The 22039-nt window shown below is 37.7% G+C and overlaps 1 protein-coding gene across 21 annotated transcripts in view; it reads right to left on the reverse strand.

Moving 5' to 3' along the window:
* Nucleotides 1–22039, reverse strand: part of ERC2 (ELKS/RAB6-interacting/CAST family member 2) — a 960157-nt gene that overhangs the window by 619931 nt on the left and 318187 nt on the right. For all 21 annotated transcript variants that reach the window (NR_132749.2, XM_017006156.2, XM_047447950.1 and 18 more), the window contains 2 exons: nucleotides 20736–20891; nucleotides 11268–11435 (listed from right to left, as the gene is read on the reverse strand). Coding sequence is in view for 20 of the 21 variants with exons in the window: in XM_017006156.2 (XP_016861645.1) it covers nucleotides 11268–11435; nucleotides 20736–20891 (324 nt within the window). In the remaining variant the exon portion in view is untranslated. The remainder of the gene's footprint in view (nucleotides 1–11267; nucleotides 11436–20735; nucleotides 20892–22039) is intronic.

Below are 22039 nucleotides of genomic sequence, written 5' to 3' on the forward strand. Positions count from 1 at the left end.
TGAATCAATCCTACTGGAAACTCAAGGACAAAACAAACTCCAAACAATTCTTAAGCTTATTTTCAATAATCATATTATGGGTAGTAATGTTGGTATTTATTTCTTGTTTATATCTGTGTCTCCAGCACCTAGGACCATGTAGGCAATTTAAAACTGACGCACTGGAGATCCAATAAAAAGCTTATCAAAATGATCACCTAATACACACGTACACCTAATTTCCACATCTAAGTGCTCCATGTCTTTCTCACACACACACATACATACACAGGGCAAAATGCAAATGTGGTTTAAGTTTTTCCAAATTAAATGTTTAAAATTGATATGTGTCCTTACCCAAATGTACTTTTTGAATTTGGATGAGAATGAGGTTGAAAAGTTGACAAATCCTCATGCCACTCCCTCAGTGACACCTAGGTCTCTGAACATCCCCAGCAGTTCTGTGACCCCTCCTGATCATTTCTTTCCCTCCTTCTGGTACTACTCTTAGAAGAGCTGTCAAAGACAGTCATCGCTGTGGAGAGAGCTGACCCTTCTGGCCCTGGCATTGCTGGGGCTGGGCAAAGGAGTCACACTCAGTAAATGAGGAGTTGGATCTTCTCTTTTCCTTCACATTTGACCAGATCTTAATAACCAAACACAGAATCTGTCCCGTTTCAAATTAGCAACTGCCAAGTAGTATTGTAGGAGCCAGACGTTGTTCTGTTATAGTCATAAGGATTTAAGAAATCATCTACGTTTGAAAATTTTAAAAAATGCAATAAAATAAATTTCACAGACCTCAAGGTAGAAATGCTTGCAATAATGCCAAACTCCTAAAGTTAAAATGATCCTTAACTACACAACTTATTACCTCAAGTTGTATTCCTCCCTTTTTCTTAATAAGACAAAAGGAGGAAAGTATATGTCTGCATGGAATAAATATCTGTATTTAATTTAAGAAAGATAAAAGTTCGTATGAAAATGGGTGAAAAATCCTTGCAGAAGCCCTGCTATTTAACTTCACTCTTGACATTTTGGTTTGCTGTGTAAATATACGTAAAGAAACCCAACTACAGCAAATATTAGCCCTTTTCCAGGGGAATGGAGGGAAGTGTGACAAACGTGGATCCAGTGTCAGGAAAGCATAATCACAATGTAAACTGGTTATTTCCAAATGGTGCCCCTCCAAAGAAAAAGAAGGGAATGGAAGTACTTAATAAATTCTGTTTTCCATAAAATTCATTTTAAAAAGAGTAAAGAATGTGAACTCGGGGGTCAGTAAGAGTTTTGTTGGATTTCCCTCCTCCTAAATTCTGTCATCTCCTTTTTAAAGTGGCCAGTCAGCTTCCCACAGACATGACAGAAATACATTCTTTTTCTTCCTGCAAACCATTTACCAGTAAGTAACACTTAGCAGAGGACATGTATTTTCTCACAGACGATTGGCTAATTGGATATTGTCGCTTCCACTTGCAGCTTAATATATTATAGACAATGACTTTTTCAAACAGAAGTATAAACAAACAAAAGCACTAATGATCCATTCATTTTCTTTCAAAGAAAATAAAGAGCTCTGACTCGATACCTCTACACCCCAAAACAATGGACACAGATTATGAACAGATTTAATGTAGAAATTAAAGTGATTCTGTTATCTTAATTACATATTTGGTCATACAGGTCAAATAACATCCTAATGAGCTCAAAAAGAAGGTCCAAATTCTTTTGTTCCACTGGAAAAATAAGTTGCTCAAAATACATTGACAATGGGCTAAGGTTTGGAAAGTTTTTGATTAAAAAAGGATTTTTGTTGGAACACTTATAATGAGATTTGAGTTGCAGTAACAATATGAAATTGAAAGCAGAATTACATACAAAAAGAGTACTGTAAAATATCATTATTTTAGTACAATGGAAAATAAGGTGTTTGTGGTTTTACTCTATAAATTCTGTGTTGTCTGCTCATATGTATTCCTTCTTGGCCTTCCTCTGAATAGCCATTCTGATTTCCAAGCCCTTCTGCACCAGTACTCATTTGTGGTGGGGGGACCCACACAAAAAACATCTCCTAGGCTCTACTTTCTTCCTCCATTTTATTGGCTTTTCAGGACGAATTCATGTACACCCATCACATTGGTGTTCAGTTACCGGGCAGACAATGAATTTTCCTAATCCATTTAGTGTGCTGACAGAGCCATGTTCACAATTTATAGAATTTCCTTTTAGACATTTACGTATTTCACAGTTCATTAAGATTCAAACTGAACACCTGTGTTTATAAAGTCAAAAGCAATTTTATCCTAACAAGGTGTTAAATAAGGCGTTCTCTGAAAGCCTGAACAACAATAACAACAACAAAAGTACTAGACTCTTGACCTGTAGAACAAAATGATGCCTGTAGCTACCTGCACCATCCTTTAATAGTCCAGAATTTGCCACAGAACAACCATAAAAAGCTTTTATGACAAACTTGGGATGCTCCCTTCCATCACATTTCAATTTCTCCATCACAGGTCTTTCATGTTCTGCCTTAAGAAAGCAATAGCATGAGGCCACTCTGCAAAGTTCACCCAGGTAGCTAAAATCTGCAAAAGAGCTTAAAAACTTTAGAAGGTAAATGTGGCCCCTATAGACAATTCCTTCATTTGCTAGATACAGGGACATTTTCCGCATTCTAAGGCTCACAAAGCCTGACCTTGCCTCATTTGTATGTGACCCCAAAGTTTTCACATCATTAATAAAAAGAGAATCAAAACAAAGCCTACAGACATTAGGGGAGGGGAAAGTGTGTTGTTTGGCACTACCATCATCCATACTCTCAAAATGGAAAGGGAAAAAAATAAAATGCACATAGACGAGGTGGTGACCCCTATAACGACTATGGTTCCCAACATTTTTTTTCCTACTGGTAATAAACCATTTTGCAGACCTCCCAATTGTGGCCACCATGATAGTTACTGTTTTGCAGGTTTATGTCTTTTTCTTGTAGTTAGAAGTGTTATCAATAAAAATTTCAAATGAAGCCTTTCCCGTCAAATAAAAACATTTTAAAATGTGAAGCCAACAGCAGGATTAGGGAGGAAAAATACAAATGACACCAGGGCTTTGTTTTGTATATATATTTTTCTTTTACCAAGTCCCTTAATTGATTAGTTTTAAAGACATTCCTTGCAAGTCTTGAAAGTGAGATAAATGCATCCTAAATGGCACTGGGGTAATTTAACAGTCTTAAAAGTTGATTTTGTTGTATGCTACTAACTTTTCTAAAAAGCATCTTAATTTTGAATGCAGTGACTATGAAGGGCATTAAACAAAAAGCTATCTCAGAAAGGACATTTAAATATTATCCTTTGAAGGCTGAACTGATTAAAAAGGACTTTACTGCTTGCCAGTCAATTATGGCAAGGGGTGAAAAAAACCTGAAATTATTGTTTAAAAGTAAACTGGTTACTAAAGGATAGGAGAAGAGGGGTGAGGGGCGAAAGGGAAAGGTTGGTTAACAGATACAAAATTACAGCTAGATAGGAGGAATAAATTCTAGCGTTCTGTAGCACTGTAAGGTGACCACAGTTAACAATAATTTATTGTATACTTTCAAACAGCTAGAGAGGATTTCTAAGGTTCCCAACACAAAAAAATGATAAACATTTGTGGTGACAGATATGTTAATTACCATGAATTGATCACTACACATTGTTGACATGTATCAAAATCACCGTACCCCATAAATATGTACAATTATTACACGTCAATTAAAAAAGTAAAAGATCACTTCTTGTAAATCCCACCTTATATGCTATGGCAAATACTATTTCCAACCATTTAAAAAACTCTTTTGCTCCAAATGGGTCAGTCCCAATGAATAAGTAGTTCTTTTAAGTATTTGGAATAGTTTGCAAAGCCCCGTGTGAATGCATACAGTCCCACAGTCCCTGGAGGCCACAAAGCATTCCCAACTCCTTGTCATGGTTACCTTTAATGCCCAAGAGTTGTAGCTTTACCAAGAACTGGGGGACAGAGGGCCCATCTCAAGGCAAATAAACTGAGAAGCAAGGCCATGTAAAATGTGTTCTTTTCTCCATGTAACAACATTTTCATTCTCAAAAGTTTGGTTTTTATGATTCATCTTGCAAACTGACAGCCCAAGTCTGCTCTCTAGTTTGTGTTATCACACTGAGTCATCTGTGACTCAGAGACAGAAAAATGCTGCCACGGGCTCAGAAAACACCTCCTCCTCCACCAGCACCTTACACAACCTCCCTGAAGAAATTATCATTGCTGCTTCTGTTAAAAATTCATTTAATTTGGGAGGCTGAGGTAGGAGAATGGTGTGAACCCAGGAGGCGGAGCTTGCAGTGAGCTGAGATCACGCCACTGCACTCCAGCCTGGGCGACAGAGCGAGACTCCGTCTCAAAAAAAAAGCATTTAATTTTTTTTACTATAAATGTACGACATGTGCATCATCATAGAAAATTTAAAGATCACCTGGGTATCCAACAATCAGAGAGAACAAAGTCATACACAGCCATCCATTCTTTTATTTGTTTTTACATAGTGTGCATGCATATATGAATATATGTGTATGTATGTGTATGTTTGTATATATATAAACGTCTTTAAACATATTTAAGGAAATAAAAACTAAATATTATATGATAAACTTTTCTTAATATACTAGGATTCTAAACTTCCTGAAAACAATACCCTCCCTAGAGTTTGGGCAATGACCTTCATTATTATGGCCATAGTGTCACTATTATTATAGCCATAATGTTACCACGAGGATTTAAGCCTCAGAGTTATTCATTCTTATCCCCCTTCTTAGCCATGTCAGAGTTATGCCTAGAAAGCATTCTTGAAAATTCCGTGAACTCACCTGTCAAGACAGAATTATAAAACTTGCCACAAATTTTGCCTTTAAGATTAAATGAGGCCAGACATGGTGGCTCACGCCTGTAATCCCAGCATTTTGGGAAGCTGAGGCGGGCAAATTGCTTCAGCCCAGGAGTTCGAAACCAGCCTGGGCAACATGGCAAAACCCTGTCTCTACTAAAATACAAAAATTAGCTGGGTATGGTGTTGCATGCCTATAATCCCAGTTAGTTGGGAGGCTGAGGCAGGAGAATTGCTTGAACCCGAGAGGCGGAGGTTGCAGTGAGCCGAGATCATGCCACTGCACTCCAGCCTGAGCGACAGAGCAAGACCCCGCTGCAAAAAAATAATAAAATAAAATAAAACAAAGATTAAAAGAGATAAGTCATCTTCCTGACATGAAGAAAGCCCTCAGTCCACTGGGACTCTCATGGAAATCACTAGATTCCTAGTTAAAGGCATTTGGAGCTGGGAACCCAGACATTGCCATTTACCTCTGTATGACCTTGAGCAAGTTATACATCCTCTGAGCTTCTATTTCATCATCTTAAAAATAGGGGCAACAATACCAACTTCACAAGTGGTGAGTCAGTTTTAAAATATCACATGGAAAACACTCAGCTGCATCTCCTGGAACTCAGTGTAGCAGCCATAAGACACTCAGTAATAAAATTACATTTAAAAGGCTAAGACTATCAGCTCTTGAAATTACGGATCCCCACCTTGTCCAGCACCTTGCACAGCATAGATGCCCAGTATTATCAATATTATCAAATATTATCAAATGACACCTCACTGATTTGGACACATTGTGGGAAGGGTCTGTGTGACATACCACCAGCTAAAGCATTTCCAAGTCTATGCAGGAACTCCCGAAATAATGAAGCTAGCAGAATGCCTGCAACTCCATAAATATCATCTCTTTTCTCAAGAAGGAGAACCAAGTTGCTTGAGTGTGACCTCAAAGAGGATCAGCTTTAATCAAAAGATAGTCTCAATATTATTAGGGTAACCACCTTAGCAATATTAGCCTTCAATTATAAGAGATACAAATAGACACTTTGAACAGTTGCATATTTTAGTCTTCAAGGGAGCGAAATATCTATTTCTTCGTGTCTTCTTTCCTTCCTTTACTTATCTGCTTTTAAACAACAAAAGAAAGATCAAGATTCGGTGTGGAATTATTAGTAATCAATGATAATGAAATCACTGGGAGTTTATGGTACCATAAATCAGTTCTCTAACATATATCCACGTGTCTAAAAGAACGTTTGCTCAATGATAGCAGAAACCATATCTGGCACATAGTAGGCATTCAAAAAGTATGTGTTAAATGAAAAAATGCATGAAGCCCAGAGAGCAAAGATTATTAATGTGAAGTTCTTGGAAATGCTCTAGAGCATCTATAAACTACCTGAAATTATATACACTACTGCATGTGAATATTAGCATGTATGTGCCCATGTGGATTTTTTTTTTGGTGGGGGGGTTTAATTGCATAAGATTCTCATCTGTGTTGATTATATTTTTTAGAAGTTATGAACCCTTGCTTTGCAGCTGCCACTATGTTGCCCTTGCCTGCATAAACACAAAACCCCTGCATTCTTTGTTAATGAACGGGTTCTCAAGTGTTTACTCTTAGACAAGTATTATAGAATCCTTCTCTGGCTTATTTGGGACAGAAATTAGCATTATGTACCACTGTCATATAACACATCTTGGAAAACACATGCAAAAATGTTGCCTGGCAGTTTGCAAACCATGCCGAGTTGGAGAAAAGTATACTTGCCAGAAATCAGAAATAAATCTCTCTCTTTTTTTTTGTTTTTTTTTGTTTTTGTTTTTGTTTTTGTTTTTGTTTTTGTTTTTAGATGGAGTCTCGCTCTGTCACCCAGGCTGGAGTGCAGTGGCATGATCTCAACTCATGCTCATTGCAACTTCTGCCTCCCAGGTTCAAGTGATTCTTGTGCCTCAGCCTCCTGAGGAGCTGGGACTACAGGCCCGTACCACCACGTCCAGCTAATTTTTGTATTATTAGTAGAGATAGGGTTTCACAATGTTGGTCAGGCTGGTCTCAAACTCCTGACCCTAAGTGATCCCCCTGCCTCGGCCTCTCAAAGTGCTGGGATTACAGGTGTGAGCCACCACACCTGGCCAGAAATAAAAATCTTAATTTGGAGATAGAACAAAAGAGATGGTCACTTTCATAGTATCTTTATTTGTCCATATCATTCTAAGACATAAAAAAGTGACTCAATTGAAGTATAGAAGTCCGAGGTCTATAAATGCACATACCAAAAATTCAAAAGAGACCCACAAAGTGAAACACAGAACAGATGTGAAGATGACAAGTGAAGTAGAGTATTCAGGTGTGACCTGCCCAAACATCCCTGATAAACATAATAGTAGTAATGATAATAATAACAGCAATGGTGATACCATAATTTATAGCTGTAACCCTTGACTATAATCAAAGCACTTTTCACATAGATGTATGAGGCTGATACAATGACTGCCATTTCATAGACTGTGACATGAAGGCTCAGAGAAGTTCAAGTCTTGTCCACGCCACACAGTTATTGAATAGGGAGGCTGAGGTATAACCACACATCTCCCACTTCTAAATGCTGTGTTTTGTTTGACATTTTACTTTAGATCACAGAATAAATGTTAGGCCTTAATCCTTCCCAGTTTATGGATATGTTGTTAATTATTCACTGAAATCCAGAAAAATCAAGGTGCTAGAGAACACCAATTCATTATTTTCTCTACTGCTGTGGAATTCATGTGTTGGTGGATGGGGTAAGTTGGTACAAAGGAAACATCAAGGGCAGTAGCAAAATAAGAAACTTGGCCTTAGAGTCCTTTGAAGCTATTTTAAAAAGTAAAATGTTATGTTAAGAGCTATGTGGTGTATCTCTCTGTGTATGTAATTATTATTCTATTGATTTATTGCACACATGTCAGAGTGTCTGGGCATTTGTACAAGTTCAAACAAACCAACCAAAGAGCCAAGCCACATAGCCGCAAACCGAGACAGCTTGCCTCCTACACCTCACCCCACCCTTCATCCTACCAACTCCCAAATGCAAATTCCCTGGTAGCAAAACCTTCTTTACAGAGATGAACCGTTAAGCCATGACGTCTGTCATTTATACTATTCTAAAAGAGCAGCCAAAGCCAGTTGATGGCACAGATATAGCAGGACTCTCCCCATTACAAAGAGAGCCCCCTTCTGTTTTGGCAAGAACTTTCAGGAATGACTCAGGAATCAAATTGCAAGGAGCTATCACATGTAACCTCCTTTGAGGATGAGCACCATATCTTTTTTTTTTTTAACCTTTTATTTTAGGTTCACGGATACATGTGTGGGTTTGTTGTATAGGTAAATTGTGTTTCACAGGTTTGGTGTACAGATTATTTCATATGAATTTAAATTCAGATTTTTCATTGTAGGGCATAATGAAACACAACATATCTCATCTTCTGAATACTCACCCACTAACACACCACACAGCAGGTAGAAAGACTCTTATTTACCTCTGCTATCCCAAAGAGTGGGGAAATCACTTTAAAGTATTCTACACTGCTGCCAAAAATCCTCTGCCCACAATCCAACAATTAGAGCAATTTCAACCTAAATTGCTCCCCCTAAGAGACAGACGTAATTAGATAAGTTTCTCCTCTGTTTCCATGTACAAAGAGATCTTAAAAGGAAAAAAAAGGCAAAAGAAAATTCCTCAGCCGTTTCCAGCTGATAAAATCAGTAATCTCATACTCCCAACTTCAAAGCAGAAGACTTAGAAAATCATCTCACTTTCTCTGCACACGGAGAATAATTTTTTTCTACTTCAAAGCACCAACTCTTTATTTGGTCATTTTAATTATTGAACATGGGACGGAAGCTATCCACATAATGTCACCACTGTCTTTTTCATGAAATATGTATAGGTCTAATTTGGACTACATTAATTTGAGAGAGGTAAAATACAGGGAGGGGAATGAGAAAGGAAAGAGGACAAGGAATATAGCCTCCATCAGTATAAGATAGTGAGAAGAAAAGCCTTTCTGACCTGGCTCCTCATTCATTTTCTCTGGAGAGAAACCATCAAGAAACCTGACTGCTGGTTTGGGTAAGCAGACTGCCTTGCTTCTCAAATTCTCTCCTACCCAACAACACACAGCAACACAATTACACTAACTTTATCGGTAATCCTGGTATTATTGACAAAATATGGGTACAAGCAGTTGCTTTTTGAATAATACAGTGAAGAAAAATGAATGCTCTAGAACAGCTGTCAGCAAACTTTCTCCATTTAGGGTACCACAGCCAGAGAGAAGACTAGCTGGGCATTCCAATGCCCACTCAATCCTCTTCCCACAAAATCACAATGCCAGAAATTGGCAAACTTTCTGTAAAAAGCCAGACAGTAAATATTTTCAGCTTTGTGGGCCATACAATATCTATTGCAACTGCTCGACTCTGCTGTTGTAGCACAAAAGCAGCCAAAGACAACATGTAGATGAATGGGTATGGCTGTGTTCCAATAATACTTTATTTACAAAAGCAGGCTCAGGGCCAGATCTGGCCCACAAGCCATAGTTTTGGTTGACCCCTATTTGAGACAAGTACTAGATGGTAGAAATGTTCTCTAGCTGTGCTGTCTAATACAGCAGCCACTAGCCACATGTAACTGTTAGTACTTGATATGTGGCTAATGTGACTATAGAACTACAGTTTGAATTTCACTGGATTTTAATTAATTTTAGTTTAAATAGCCACATGTGGCTACAGTGTTAACACACAATTCTAGATACTATTCACTGCTGCCTCCTCAAAGGAGATAGAAGCCAACTTCCAATTTATAGTATAGATTAAATGTTTGCCTTAAAAAATAAAATACCCATACCTTTGCATTCACAGTGGAACTATACACAACTGAAAATGGTATTTCTTTTTTTTTTTTTTTTTTTTTTTTTTGAGACGAAGTCTCACTCTGTCACCCAGGCTGGAGTGCAGTGGCACGATCTCCACTCACTGCAAGCTCTGCCTCCTGGGTTCATGCCATTCTCCTATCTCAGCCTCCCGAGTAGCTGGGACTACAGGCACCCGCCACCACGCCCAGCTAATTTTCTGTATTTTTTAGTAGAGACTGGGTTTCACCGTGTTTGCCAGGATGGTCTGGATCTCCTGACCTCGTGATCCACCCGCCTTGGCCTCCCAAAGTGTTGGGATTACAGGCGTGAGCCACCGCGCCCAGCCTGAAAATGGTATTTTTTAAATGTGAAATATCTACATCATTGAGACCAAGGTGATTGTTTCGAATTGAAGCATTCAGGTAGCTGCCTATCAGCCAATGGTCAAAGGTATAGGGGCTGAGTCAGGTTCATGCTAAGACCTATCCAATCCAGAAAGTATTTTCTTCCGCCTCTGGACACTGTCGTGCACCTTGACTGAAAGCACAGATCTACTCAACAGTCCCATTAACTCCTAAGGCCAATCCAAACCTCCCCACAGATGCTAAAATATATACATGCAAAGACACAGCTCAAAGAGCCCAAGAGAGAGCATGCATGTTGATTAGAATGCCTTCTAAAGTAATGCACACAGCACAGTGCCTCAACACAAAATCAAGATTCACCACATTTTTCCCTATTGCCTGCTGCATTTGATAACTATTTTATTTACACAATAACTAGCTTGTGTTTTGCATTTCTTAGCAGACCCAAAGATGTAATCCAAGGAGGAAAAGCAAGGAAATAGGATAGTAACATATTTTTGTTGTTCTTCTAAGCATGAATAAGAGATAACAAACCAATATTTCCTTTGAGAAACTCACACAATATCAACTTTCTTCAATGGGTAAAAGAAATTGAAGATACTCCTTAGTAAACAAGAACCCTTTGGAAACATGGGTGCCAGAAGGGGAACCCATACAGAGGATGCACAGCAAAGCAAGGCAGATGACATTCCAGTTATTTTATGATTTTTGATAAAATGAAACCATTCTAGATCCAAGCCCTTGACTTGGATTTACCAAATCTAAAATGCTCCGAAGTATGAAAAAAAGAAATTCCAAGTGTGAACCAAACACCTTTGGTGGCACAACTTGACACAAACTGACAAGAGTCTAATTATACAGTCTTTATTTATCCCACTTAGTATAAGAAATTTTTTTAATGCAAAAATATGCATGTGTTTGTTTATGGGGTGTTGCTACAACTTCACTTGCAGTGTTACACAATCTATACAATGCATCTCACCTTTCTGAAAGCCCAACAAATATGAATTTCAAAATACATCTGGCCCCAAGGGTTAGGATAAAGGGTCTTTGGAGGAAAGTTGTTCAGGTAGGGCAATTTCTATCAATTCAATGTCTCTGCTGTCTAGAATCCTGAGAGAGTGCCTTACCTCAGTCTGAAGGATGGCAGCCCTCTGTTCTTTGGCAGTAAGTGACTCTTTGAGCACTTCAATGTGTTGCTTGCAATCTGAATTTTGATTGCTGAGGGTTTCAAGCTTTGTTTGTAAGGCAAGAAGTTCCGACTCTTTCTTTGAAAGTTCCTGCTTCAGCTGATCAATCTGCAAAACAACAACAAAATTGCAAGAAATTAGAAATTGCTGCCCCTACACTTTACATTGGACAACTACTGATTTCTCTCCATTTCAGCAGCCAGTGATCAATAATCCAACAAGGCAGGCCACGAATTTGCTTAAAAAAGATGGCCTTGGGAATCACACAGTCTTTGGGTTCTGGAGGAAAATCTGTAAAGGTCACTGAGAGTATAGGAAATAGGAATGGAAAGGTCAGCAGACTGCCCTCCATCCCACTGTGGACCAAATTTCACAATGGAATGAAGCCTTCCCAGCCAAACCTACTCATCTGTGAAACCACCAAGTATATTACCACCATGGTCCTGAGGAGAGTCAATAGGGATCTAACATGGGTAATTAAACCAAGGCATAACTCCACAGTGCAAATAATCATTCAAGGGCATCATTTGACAAAAGAATCCTAAAAAACAAGTAAGCACTGGGGATCATCTTTTTGCTTACATTAAATATTGAGAAGATACAAAAAGAACATAAAATATACGTGAGGTATGAGGAAAAATGACCCAAAAAATCCATAATTCAATTCACCAAAAAAGATCACTAGAATTACCCATGTCCTATCCCATTTCTATCTCCTCCCCCCATTTGGAAATAATTACCACCCCAAATTTTGTGTTTATTATTTCTTTGCTTGTCTTTTAGGCTGATCATATATTTTTGCATCCATAAATATACACTATTTGGTTTTGCATGTTTTTAAACTTTATTTGGGCTACAATTTTTTTTCCTACTTTGCTTTTTTTCCTACTCAATCTTATGTCCTGAAGATTAAATCACAATGTTGTACATAGAGTTCATTCATTTTCACTGAAGTAGAGTATTCCATTGTAAGACTTCACCACAATTTATCTGCCCACTCTGCTGTTGATAGAAATTCGGTTCTGTTCTTAGGTTTTTTGCTACTATAAAAAATGCTATTCTGAACATTCTTATACATATAACCTAGTTCACATAGCAATAATATTCTCAAGTGTCTATCTAAGATTTAAATTGCTGAACCACATAGCATATTCATCTTCAATTTCACTAGATAAAACAAAAATGTATGACTCACACCTATAATCCCAGCACTTTGGGAGGCCAAGGCAGGCAGATCACAAGGTCAGGAGTTCGAGACCAGCCTGGCCAATATGGTGAAACCCCCTCTCCACTAAAAATACAAAAATTAGCCAGCTGTGGTGGCAGGCACCTGTATTCCCAGCTACTCGGGAGGCTGAGGCAGGAGAATCACTTGAACCTGAGAGGCAGAGGTTGCAGTGAGCCGAGATCACGCCACTGCCCTCCAGCCTGGGTGACAGAGGGAGGCTCCACTCAAAAAACAAAAACAAAAAAATGTTTTCCAAAACAGTTCTGTTAATTTACATGATCACAAGCACCTTGCAAGTATGCCAACCACTCCACCTCTTCACTAATAACTTATGTCACTGGTCTTTTACACTTTTGCCAATTTGATATGCGTTGTGCAGGTAGATGATCTGCAGAGACATCATCTACCCATTCCTTCATTCCTTCCTACTTGTACACAAATGTCGCTCCTCACAACTAGAGCTGAAGTTTATTTACCCTCTTCTTGAACCTGGGCTGGACTGTGACTTCCTTCTGCCAACAAATGCAGCAAAATAATCAGTATACCTGTTATAGCCCTAGCCTACAGGGGGACTGGCAGCTTCTGCTTCTACCCACTGGAAGCCAGCCACCATGTTCTAGAAGCTCAACCACCCTGTGACCACCATGGTGTGAGGAAGACCATACCAGACATATGGACAGGCCATGCAGAAAGACAGGGAGGCCTGTGGTCATGGTGGCCCCTTTGTCTTGTTTCAGGCCTCAAAGGGAAGAATTTCAATGTTTCATCATTACATTTTGTGTCTGCATTGGTTTTTTATAGACATTTTATTAGGCTTCGCATTATTACAACTATACCAAAAGTATTTTTTAATCAGTAGTGAATTTTTAACATTACCAAACATTTTTTTCTATATCTCATGGTTTATCGCCATTTTTCAACTTTCATATGTTATTGTAATGAATTGCATTAATGAAATTTTTAACCTTAATCTCCCCTGGCATTACTATGAAAAACTCCACTCGATCATTACATATTTTTTATATGTTACTGGATTCAGCTTGCTAATATTTTGTAAGGATCTTTTATTTATGTTTATGACTGAGACTGGTTTATAATTTTCCTATCCTATGCTGTCCTTGTCAGGTTTTAATATCAATATAGCCTTCCGAATGAAGTAGGAAGTGTTCCTTCCTTTAATGTGTTTGGAAATGGTTCCTGTGAAATTGGAATTTTTTTTTTACACTAATGTTCATTAGAAATCACCAGCAAAACCATTCAGAGCTGTTATTTTCTTTTTCCAAAGAACATTACTTACTAATCCACTTTTAATGGCTGCAGGAATATTCACGTTTCTATTTAGCTGAGTCAGTGTTGATACATTTTTTTCCCCAAAGAATTTTTTGTTTCATCTAAATTTTCACACTTATTTGCAGGAAACGTCTAAAAAACCCACTTATCCTTATATCAATAGCATTTATGATTATGTCTTCCTTTTCATTTCTAATATTCTACATTATTAACCTCTCTTTTTTCAAGTTTTATTTTAGCTTTAACCACTCTTTTTCCTGATGAATCTCAGTAGACACATGTCAAGTTAAGTATTCTTATCAAGGAACCAATTTTGGCTATATTGATTATGCAATTACACTTTTATTTTCTGTTTCATTCATGTCTGCTGCTTTTAAATATTTCCTTCCTTCCACTTTCTTTGGGCTTATTCTATTTTCTTTTCCTAACTTTTTAAGTTGGATGTTTATACTAATTTTCAGCCTTGTTTCATTCCTAAGATAATCCTTCAGACTATAAGTCTTGATTTGGTTATCTTTAAATTTGCTTGGTTTCTTATAGTCTCTTGTTCTTTATTCATATTTTCAATCTCTTATTTAGACATATTAAACACACTTATTAATATTTCATAGTCTTTTTCTTATAATTCCAACTTTTGAAGTCTTTGCTTTCTGATTCTGCTATTTATTCTTTCTACTGGCTGTCATTTATGGTGGCCTGTTTTCTTGCAGATTTTGTGATTTTTCTCCTTTTTTTGGTACTGTGTACTAGTTTTTTTTTTTTGGAACTTTATCTGAAAAAATACTTTAAGGCTTATGTGGTCCTTTAGAGAATTTGCCTCTGCCAATACCTGGGGACACTACCAACCAAGAATGTAGCTGCTTTAAGCTACATTATCTACCTGAAGTTTTCCGATCATCTTGCACAGCACATCCATGTAACAGCCAGCTGTGGTTATGGATTCTGAGAACAAATTTTTTCATCTTTTACTTGGCTCAAAGCTTTAAAACAGAAAATCTTCCCTGGAGTCCCCTAGTCTAAGTGTGAGGAGGGGGAATATGGTAAGGTTATTTTTAGTTTGCCTCTGCACTAGCAGTATAGCTGTCTGAGATCCCAGCTTCATGTGGTGGTGGTAATAGGGTTCCTACAATCCCTCATCTTAAGTAGGCCCAGACTTCTGTCTTTTTTCTTCAGTGTCCTTGTGGCTATGAAAACCAGAGCTCAAGTTCATCTATCTGAAAATTGCCAACAAGAATAAATAACCTGATATGGTTTGGTTGTGTCCCCACCCAAATCTCATCTTGAATTGTAGCTCCCATAATTCCTACATGTCATGGGAGGGACCCAGCAGGAGGTAATTGAATCATGGGGGAGGGGCCAGTCTTTCCCATGCTGTTCTCATGATAGTGAATAAATCTCATGAGATCCGATGGTTTTATAAAGGGCAGTTCCCCTGCATACACTCTCTTGCCTGCTGCCATGTAAGACATGACTTTGTTCCTCATTTGCCTTCCACCATGATTGTGAGGCCTCCCCAGCCATGTGGAATTGTGAGTTCATTAAACCTCTTTCCTTTATAAATTACCCAGTCATGGGTATGTCTTTATTAGCAGCATGAGAACAGACTAATACATACATAACCCATGCTCTACTTATCACACAGGCTTCCTGCTATGGCTTAGCTTTGACTCTTGAGGTTCTTTCTTACTCAAGAGCTCATAAGTACATTTTAAAATATATGTTTAAAAATATATTTCATTCAGTATTTTTTGTTGCTTTCAGCAAGAAAACTGACATAAACAATAACAAGCTACTGACAATATTAGCTGAGCATGAACAGGAGTGAGACTCCCATGTTCAGAAGGGTTCAGGTTGCATAACTTAGTAGAAAGGTTGATATGAATGGAAATCCCATTTGCAAGAAGTCAGACTATGTCAGGGAACAAACAAGCTTCATCTTGCTAGCCAAATCTAAAGGATTGGTAGTGGCTAAACAAAAAACGGTCTTGAGAAGGATCCTAAGTATGTTTAAATATTCACTGGGAAAGAATCATGACTGCTTATCAATGTGCCCCAGGTATATGTGAGCAAGTGAGCACTGCTCAGATATGTGCAGTTTCTGAAACACATTATTTCTTTATAATTTAATGAATCATGAGTGTGTGGTCATTTTTATGTGGAACAAAAGTAAGAAGTTCTCTCTCTCTCATACATAACAAGAATATAGTATAAATAAAAACAGGGAAAATCAGAATTAGGATTATCTAAAATGATAAAAGATACTAAAATCTGTTATGATCAACACTCTTCTCAGGGGGGTATGGCCCCAAATTATATCCAGCTGTAGCTGACAGCACAGTTTATAGTTGATTCCACATATGAAACTGATTCATCTGAAATTGACACTCAAAAACTTTCAACTCTACACACCTAAGCAAAGATGATGTTTATAGTGAAAAAACCGATTCGTGCTAACTTCTACAAATACCACAGTAGAAAGCCAGTGTCGGGTTTGGTGTATTGAGAGAGAAATGAAAAGGAAATCAACTGGATATAGACAATAGGGTTTAGTCAGGAGGAAGGGCATGGCAGGGTCTACATACACCTCCTTTAGTCAATAAAAATAGATTGATAATGATAAAACTATTTCAGTCTATAAATATTAAATAGGCAGTGGCTCTAAATAGCTTTCAGGCATTGCTGCCATAAGGTAAATTTTAAATAAATATTTATGTAGACAATAACAGAAAAGAGCCTTTCTAAGGGGAACATAGTTACAGGGTAAAAAAAATCATATTCTCCCATAAAAATATCCCTTTTGCTTCTTTTACAGCCATAAATTCCATAAAAATGGAAAGTGATGCAATCGAACATACATGAGAACTGAGGCCAGGGAAGGTCTGTCTCTGTGACAGCCAGAAGAAAAGCCAATCGGAATTACATCACATGCTTTATATGAAGTCCATGTGGACATCAGGCACACTTCATCCCGTCTGAAAATTCTTCCCCCACTTACGTCTGTGACACAAACTACACCCTGAAAAAAACACTCTGCCAAGGAAAACAGCTTCTTTTTCACTGCAGATATGGCCCTTATGTCTAGAAAGTGATATGCTTACTATCATGAAGTTTGGGTTAGGAGGTTTGTAATCTATCAGAGGTTTATAAGAAAATGTGTTACAAATTCAGAATAAAGGAGGAGATCTAAGACAGCAGATCGGCATCTTTGGCAAACACTGGAAACAGAGGGAGCAGCTAATATAGAAATACTGGAATGAGTAGATGAAAAATGTGCTAGACTAGGAACAAAGCCTTATACAGAAAGGAAATGCCATTATTCTTTCCCTACCAGAAAAACAATTATGTATTTGGTATGTTCCATTCTCCGAGGTTTAATGGAGCTCCTGAAAGTAATTCATGCTTTCCATGGCCTCCAAGATTCAGCTCTCACAGTTTGATTCCTCTAATCCTTCAGTGTTGGGGTAGGAATTGGAGTTTCCAACAGACGAGAGTTACACATCTGAGATCTCCCAGAGGCTCAGTTCTCAGAGACAATGTTCATGTGCCAAAGGACTTGCAAGATGCCAGGATTTCTACCCTGGCTGACTATGTTTTGTATTCCTGCCTTTGCACAAGCTGAGTTTTGCAACCCATCTTCTACCTTTCCAAAAATGTTATATCATGGTTTTTCTATGATGTCATGTTTGTAAAAGCAATTCAGGCATTCACTGACACTTAATTTAATCAAAGAACTTTCAAGAGACCCTACCAATTCCAACTACCTGCTCTGGATCAAAATGGAAGTGCACACCCTTCCATGTGCCTATTTAAAATATTTTCTTTCCCTCCAATCTACATGATTTATTCATTTTAATAGTAATGCAAGCAGTATTCCCAGGCTTAAATGAGGAATCACACTCATCACTCAAAGTAGAATTGGGCTGGGTGTGGTGGCTCACATCTGTAATCCCAGCACTTTGGGAGGCTGAGGCAGGCAGATCACTTGAGATCAGGAGTTTGAGACCAGCCTGACCAACATGGTGAAACCCCATCTCTACCAAAAAAATACAAAAAATAGCTGGCATGGTGGTGTGCACCTGTAATCCCAGCTACTCAGGAGGCTGGGTGGGAGAATTGGTTGAACCTGGGAGGTAGAGGCTGCAGTGAGCCGAGATCGCACCACTGCACCCCAGCCTGGGTGACAGAGTGAGACCCTGCCTCAAAACAAACGAACAAAAAAAACCAAGTAGGGGAATTAAGAAACGTAAGTAATTAATGATAGGAAACATTAGCAACAAATGTTATAGTTCAATCCAATAAGAACATTCTTTCAATGGAGAAAATATTAAAAACTGACCCTTACTAGTACTTTTTAGCTAATTTTTAACAATAAAAGAGGTGTCTGCATGACATAAGAATTCATCTTATTTGTATTTCTTAGAAATCCATTTTTCTCATTAGTCAAGTTAAATATAGCACTTATTGTTATGATTATTATTTGGTTATACCTCTTCAATAATAATGTTTATCATTATAAGCTAGATTTTTGAGCCAGGTACTTTAACTACACTATTGCATTTTAATCTTATTTAGTCCATCTGAACCATCCTGTAAGGTTGGTGCTGTCGCCCCTATTTTATAGAAGAATGTGTGGTCAAGTGACTTTGGTCACTCCTCAAGTCACTCCCTATACAGCTGGCAAAGGCAGGCTGGAGACTTGCTGGAGTCTGCTTTCATCTTCAGCCTGCACTCTTTCCACCTCACTCCACTACTTTCCTCAAACATTCTTCTGACCTGACCACTTCTGGAACCATTAAAAGTAACTAGCCATTAAAAGTTAAATCTAACTCAAGGATTGATGGTCTCTCAGACAAACGTGGGCTAATAAAGGTCATGACTTGCTGAAGATCATATAAATGTTTTATTCACCTGGACAGAGTCCATGATGAGGGGCAGAGTTTACAAATTTCATGACATTTTCAGCTGTAGAAGTGGCTTGAACAATCTCCCATTGTGGAATAACAGAGTCGAGGGAAAAGTTTAAGCCAAAACAATAATTTCCCCCAAACTTCTTGAGTTCACTCATATCTGTGCCTCTGGTCTTCATTTTCAGAATGATTTGGGCACTGTCTGCAGGTCACCCTAGTACTGTGCTTGCCGAACCTCGGCTTAACTCTCTGAGAGGGAGGGACTGCAAGAAAGAAACCAGAGGAAGGACTGCGCAGGGAAACTTATTCTAAACTTTGAGGCAGTCCCTGGTTACATTCAAATCCACTGGACAGTCCCCTCATATCTCCACTCCTTGATCCACGTTTTCAGCACAATCTCAACATCTAGTTAGAGATGGAAAGTTGACAGAAGTATGAATAGTTTTGTGTTTTTTCCTTGTGTATACATGCTTGCATACACACACACACACGCACACACGTTGTGATGAAGTAAACACTGGATAAATATAATTTCCTCCCTATAATTTGCAAACTCAGCAAGGAGTATGCACATATTTCACAACTGATAAAAATCATTTACACATTTTTCTCTCCTCTCCCACTGCTTTCTCACAGAGGTCTGCATTACTCTAACTCTGCTGCATTTCATAAAGCAACAAACAAAATTAAAACCTAGAACAAGAGAACAGGCATATTTAAGAGCAAGTGGTAGAAAAAGAAAAAAGAAAACAAATTTTTTTAATTGGTGTACTTATTATTTTCAGAAGCAAAATGATTTAAACAGAGGAACAGATAAAAGCATCTCACAGTCTCAAAAGACCTATTTGGGCTATTCGTAAATTTAATAATTATGCATATGTAAAAATAATAAATATTCAGGTGCTTGGTCCATTTAAAGCCACAAATTTATTTTTGAAAAAATACAATCCAAAATCTTTAAAACTGACAATAACAATATAAACTAATAGAGCAGGTTACTCTAGAATATTTTATAAAGATTCCTAGCAATAGATAACAATAATAACATGAATACCACTGTCAACAACAATGCCTGCCATTCAATGGATACTTAATCAGACAAGGGACTAAGGGCTTTAAATGAATAATCTCCTGGAATCATCAGACCAACCCAATGACGTAGGTATTTTTCTTATCCCTATTTCACGGATAAAGAAACTGAGGCTTAGGGAAGTTGAATAATTTAACTAAAGAGCAGCATTGGGACTCAAAACTATTTATGTCTTAAACACTATGCTAAAACCAAAATAGCTTAATAACTTTTTTTTTTTGAGATGTAGTCTTGCTCTGTCACCCAGGCTGGAGTGCAGTGGTACCATCTTGGCTCACTGCAACCTCTACCTCCCAGGTTCAAGTGATTCTCCTGCCTCAGCCTCCTGAGTAGCTGGGATTACAGGTGCATGTCACCATGCCTGGCTAATTTTTGTGCTTTTTTGTAGAGACAGGGTTTCACCACGTTAGCCAGGCCGGTCTCGAACTCCTGACCTCAGCTGATCTGCCTGCCTCAGCCTCCCAACCTAATAACATTTAAATGAGTTAAACTGGCTTGTAATCACAAATATTTTGAGACAATCACCTTCTAGGAGAGGCAAGAAATTTGACAACGATAGCAACTTCAAAAAAAATAGCAAACTTACATGATGGTGGAAATTTGGAAGAGAGTGGACTATAAATATGTTAATTCCCAAGGAAGAGGAATACCAAAGGAACTCCTAATTAAAGCCTGAACCTCTCAGTAAGGAAAATTCCATCAAAGGTTTTCCCTGATTGTTTTTTGGAATCTATATGTCTGAACTAAAAATCTTCCGCATTCTACTTTGTTGTCCATATATTAAATAATATCACATAAAGCATATTATATGGAGTATTTGGAAAAAGTATGTATGTAAACTGTAACTTTCTAGTCACATTAAGAACATAAAAGTTTATAACCCTGGACCGTACCTTGGTCTTCATAAACTTGGAGTGACTTTTGTAAACCTCAATTTGTTTGATCTCTTCTTCGCGGTCCTCAGTGTTCAGCACACCATTGGCTTTTAACATCTGGATCTCATCCTCAAGATCCCTTATGTTTCGTTCCAATGAAGCGATTTTTGTGTCCTGTTGGTAAAGAAGAAAAGAAAAAGAAAAATAAAGAATAAAAATTATTTTTAAGATCATCAAAACAGAATTTAAGAAAGTAATTTTGGTAGTGCTGTCACATATTAACCATGGTATAGACAGCCCTGAATTTAGGACAACTTATTTTTTTTCACAGCTGAGGGTCATTTGTGAGATGATAGTTTAAGCTCCCAATCAAGACCATGTGTCAATACAATACAGAGAATTATCTAGATATGTTTATCTAATATCTGGGAATCAAATTACCAAAGCAACAGTGATAAAAGTAATCTAAGTGTTAAAAAACAAAACAGAACACCATTTAAGTGGACAGATTTTAATCTGGGATATAGTTTACCTGTGTATATTTTTGAATCTACTTATAAACACAAAAACAGTTTATGTGTATATTTTATGGCTGGTTTTATAAGGCATGTTTGGAATTTGACTCTGAGAGAGAAAGAAATTCAAATCTACTAATGGGAAAAAGGATTCTCATCTAAAATACAGACGTAAGTGAAACTAAATAACTGAATCTTGACTTGGTATGACTGATACACTAAATATTGAAAATTTATAGTGATTGGAAATAATACATCACAATGTCATAATTTATTTGGCGAGCAGTCAGGTCCCTACGTAACAAAAAACATGACTACCTTGCAGGGCAGTTCAACCTATTGATTTATGGAGCCAACAACTAGAAATATTACACTCAGATGTGGAATTAATTGGGAAAAAATTACCAATGACAGACTCTATACACAAGGTAGAGCATTAGAAACAATGCATTAGAAAGTAGAGAAGAGAGAGCTCTTATAGGGTAACCAAAACAAAACAAAAAAAATGACGAAAAATTTTTCCACAACAGTAAGTATTAGGCTTCAATCGGTCTTTGAAATGAAAGTTTGACACATCGAAAACTGACTTCAAGTTTTCTCAGTGTCCCATCTGCCTGCCATTTTACTGCACAGAGTTAAGGAGCTCATATTAAATGTATAACTGAATGCTAATACAGAACAATCTATCAACTTTTTTAACCAATTCATTTTCTCAGAATCAAAAAGACTAAGAACTCCAAAAGTAAAGACAATGAATAGGCTATTCTATTTATAAGTAACTCATTTTTAAAAACCTTGCAACAAATG

The sequence above is a fragment of the Homo sapiens genome, chromosome 3, assembly GCF_000001405.40.
Source record: "Homo sapiens chromosome 3, GRCh38.p14 Primary Assembly".
Lineage (NCBI taxonomy): Eukaryota > Metazoa > Chordata > Mammalia > Primates > Hominidae > Homo > Homo sapiens.